The sequence below is a fragment of the Homo sapiens genome, chromosome 20 (genome assembly GCF_000001405.40).
Source record: "Homo sapiens chromosome 20, GRCh38.p14 Primary Assembly".
In the NCBI taxonomy this organism is placed as follows: Eukaryota; Metazoa; Chordata; class Mammalia; order Primates; family Hominidae; genus Homo; species Homo sapiens.
In genome coordinates, this window is record NC_000020.11 from 28,793,440 (window position 1) to 28,796,213 (window position 2,774).

Below are 2,774 nucleotides of genomic sequence, written 5' to 3' on the forward strand. Positions count from 1 at the left end.
TGTGGATGTCCTTTCTATTTGTTAGTTTTCCTTCTAACAAACAGACCCTCAGCTGCAGTTCTGTTGGAGTTTTCTAGAGGTCCACTCCAGATCCTGTTTGCCTGGGTATCAGCAGCAGTGACTGCAGAACAGTGGATTTTCATGAATCACGGATGCTGCTGTCTGATCTTTCCTCTAGAAATTTTGTCTCAGAGGACTACTCAGCCGTGAGAGGTGTCAGTCTGACCCTACTGGGTTGTGCCTCTCAGTTAGGCTGCTCAGAGTTCAGGGGACAGGGACCCACTTGAGGAGGCAGTCTGCCCATTCTCAGATCCCCCGCTGTGTGCTGTGAGAACCACTGCTCTCTTCAAAGCTGTCAGACAGGGACATTTAAGTCCACAGAGGTTACTGCTGTCTTTTTGTTTGTCTGTTCCCTGCCCCCAGATGTGGAACCTACAGAGTCAGTCAGGCCTCCTAGAGCTGTGATGGTCTACACCCAGTTCGAGCTTTCCAGCAGCTTTGTTTACCTAAGAAAGCCTGGGCAATGGGGGGTGCCCCACCACCAGCCTTACTGCCACCTTGTAGTTTGATCACAGACTGCTGTGCTAGCAATCAGTGAGACACTGTGGACATAGGACCCTCTGAGCCATGTGTGGGATATAATATCCTGGTGTGCCATTTTTTAAGCCCATTGAAAAAGTGCAGTATTAGGGTGGGAGTGACTCGATTTTCCAGGTGCCATCTGTCACCCCTTTATTTGACTAGGAAAGGGAACTCCCTGACTACTTGCACTTCCCATGTGAGGAAATGTCTAGCTCTGCTTCAGACCATGCATAGCACCCTGCACCCAGTATCCTGTGCCCACAGTCTGGCACTCCTTAGTGAGATGAACCTGGTATCTCAGATGGAAATGAAGAAATCACCCATCTTCTGCATTGCTCATGATGGGAACTGTAGAACAGAGCTGTTCCTATTTGGCCATCTTGACTGCTGCCTCATTCGCCAGTTTGCTTCTGTGTAGTTATTATGTGAAAATATTTCCTTTTCCACCATAGGCTGCAAAGGGCTCCAAATATCCACTTGCAGATTCTACAAAAAGAGAGTTTCAAAACTGCTCAATCAAAACATAGGTTCAACTCTGTGAGTTGTATGCACACATTCCAAATAAATTTCTCTGAATGCTTCTGCATAGTTTTTATTTGAAGATATATCCATTTCCACCATAGGCCACAAAGCACTCCAAATATCCACTTGCAGATTCTACAAAATGAGTGTTTCAAAACCGCTCAATCAAAAGAATGGTTCAACATTGTGAGATTAAACACACATCACAAAGAAGTTTCTCAGAATGCTTCTGTGTTGTTCTCATGTGAAGATATTTCTTTTTTCACCATAGACCTTAATGTGATCCAAACATCCACTTGCAGATACTACAAAAAGAGTGTTTCCAAACTGCTCAATCAAAAGAAAGGTTCAACTCTGTGGGATGAAGGCACACATGACCAAGACGTTCCTCAGAAATCTTTTTTGTAGTTTTTATGTGAAGGTATTTCCTTTTCCGCTATAGGCCATAAAGGGCTCCAAATATCCTCTTGCAGATTCTATAAAAAGAGAGACTCAAAACTGCTCAATCAAAAGATAGTTTCAACTCTGTGAGTTTAATGCACACTTAGCAAAGGTGTTTCTCAGAATGCTTCTGTGTAGTTTTTATGTGAAGATATTCCCGTTTCCCCCATAGGCCTCAAAGCGCTCCAAATATCCACTTGCAGATACTACAAAAATAAAGTTTCAAAACTGCTGAATGAAAAGAAAGGTTCAACACTGTGAGATGAATGCACATATTGCACAGAAGTTTTTCAGAATGATTCTGTGCAGTTTTTATGTGAAGATATTTCCTTTTCCACAATAGGAATCCAAGTGCTCCTAATATCAACTTGCAGATTCTACATAAAGAGTTTTTCAAAACTGCTCAATCAAAAGAAAGGTTCAACTCTGTGAGACGAATGCACACATCACAAAGAGGTTACTTGGAATACTTCTGTGTACGTTTCATGTGAAGATATTTTCTTTTCAACAATAGGCCTCAAAGTGCTCCAATTATCCACTTGTAGATTCTACAAAAAGAATGTTTCAAAACTACTAACTGAAAAGAAAGATTCATCTTTGTGAGATGAATGCACACATCACCATGAAGTTTCTCAGAATGATTCTGTGTAGCTTTTAGTTGAAGATATTCCCATGTCCACCATAGGCCACAAATGGCCCCAAATATCCACTTGTAGATTCTACAAAAAGAGAGTTTCAAAACTGTTCAATGAAAAGATAGGTTCAACTCTGTGAGTTGAATGCACACATCACAGAGAAGCTTCTCAGAAAGTTTCTGTGTAGTTTTTATGTGAAGTTGTTTCCTTTTACCCAATAGACCTCAAAGTGTTCCAAATATTCACTTGCAGATACTTCAAAAATATTGTTTCAAAACTGCTCAATCAAAAGAAAGGTTCATCTTATGAGATGAATGCACACATCACAAAGAAGTTTCTCAGAATACTTGTGTCTGTTTTTTATGTGAAGGCATTTCCTTTTCCACAACAGACCACAAAAGGCTGTAAATATCCACTTGCAGATACTACAAAAAGAGAGTTTCAAAATGGCTTAATCAAAAGATATGTTCAACTCTGTGAGTTGAATGCACAGATTGCAAAGGAGTTTCTCAGAATATTTCTGTCTAGTTTTCATGTGAAGGCATTTCCTTTTCCCCCATAGGCCTCAAATGGTTCCAAACTTACACCTGCAGA

The 2,774-nt window shown here is 40.9% G+C and overlaps 1 annotated feature.

Moving 5' to 3' along the window:
• Positions 1-2,774: part of a centromere (Linear centromere model derived predominantly from reads generated in PMID: 17803354. This region does not represent an actual centromere sequence, as long-range ordering of repeats and unmapped WGS contigs is not provided by the model. For details of model production, see http://arxiv.org/abs/1307.0035.) that runs on past both edges of the window.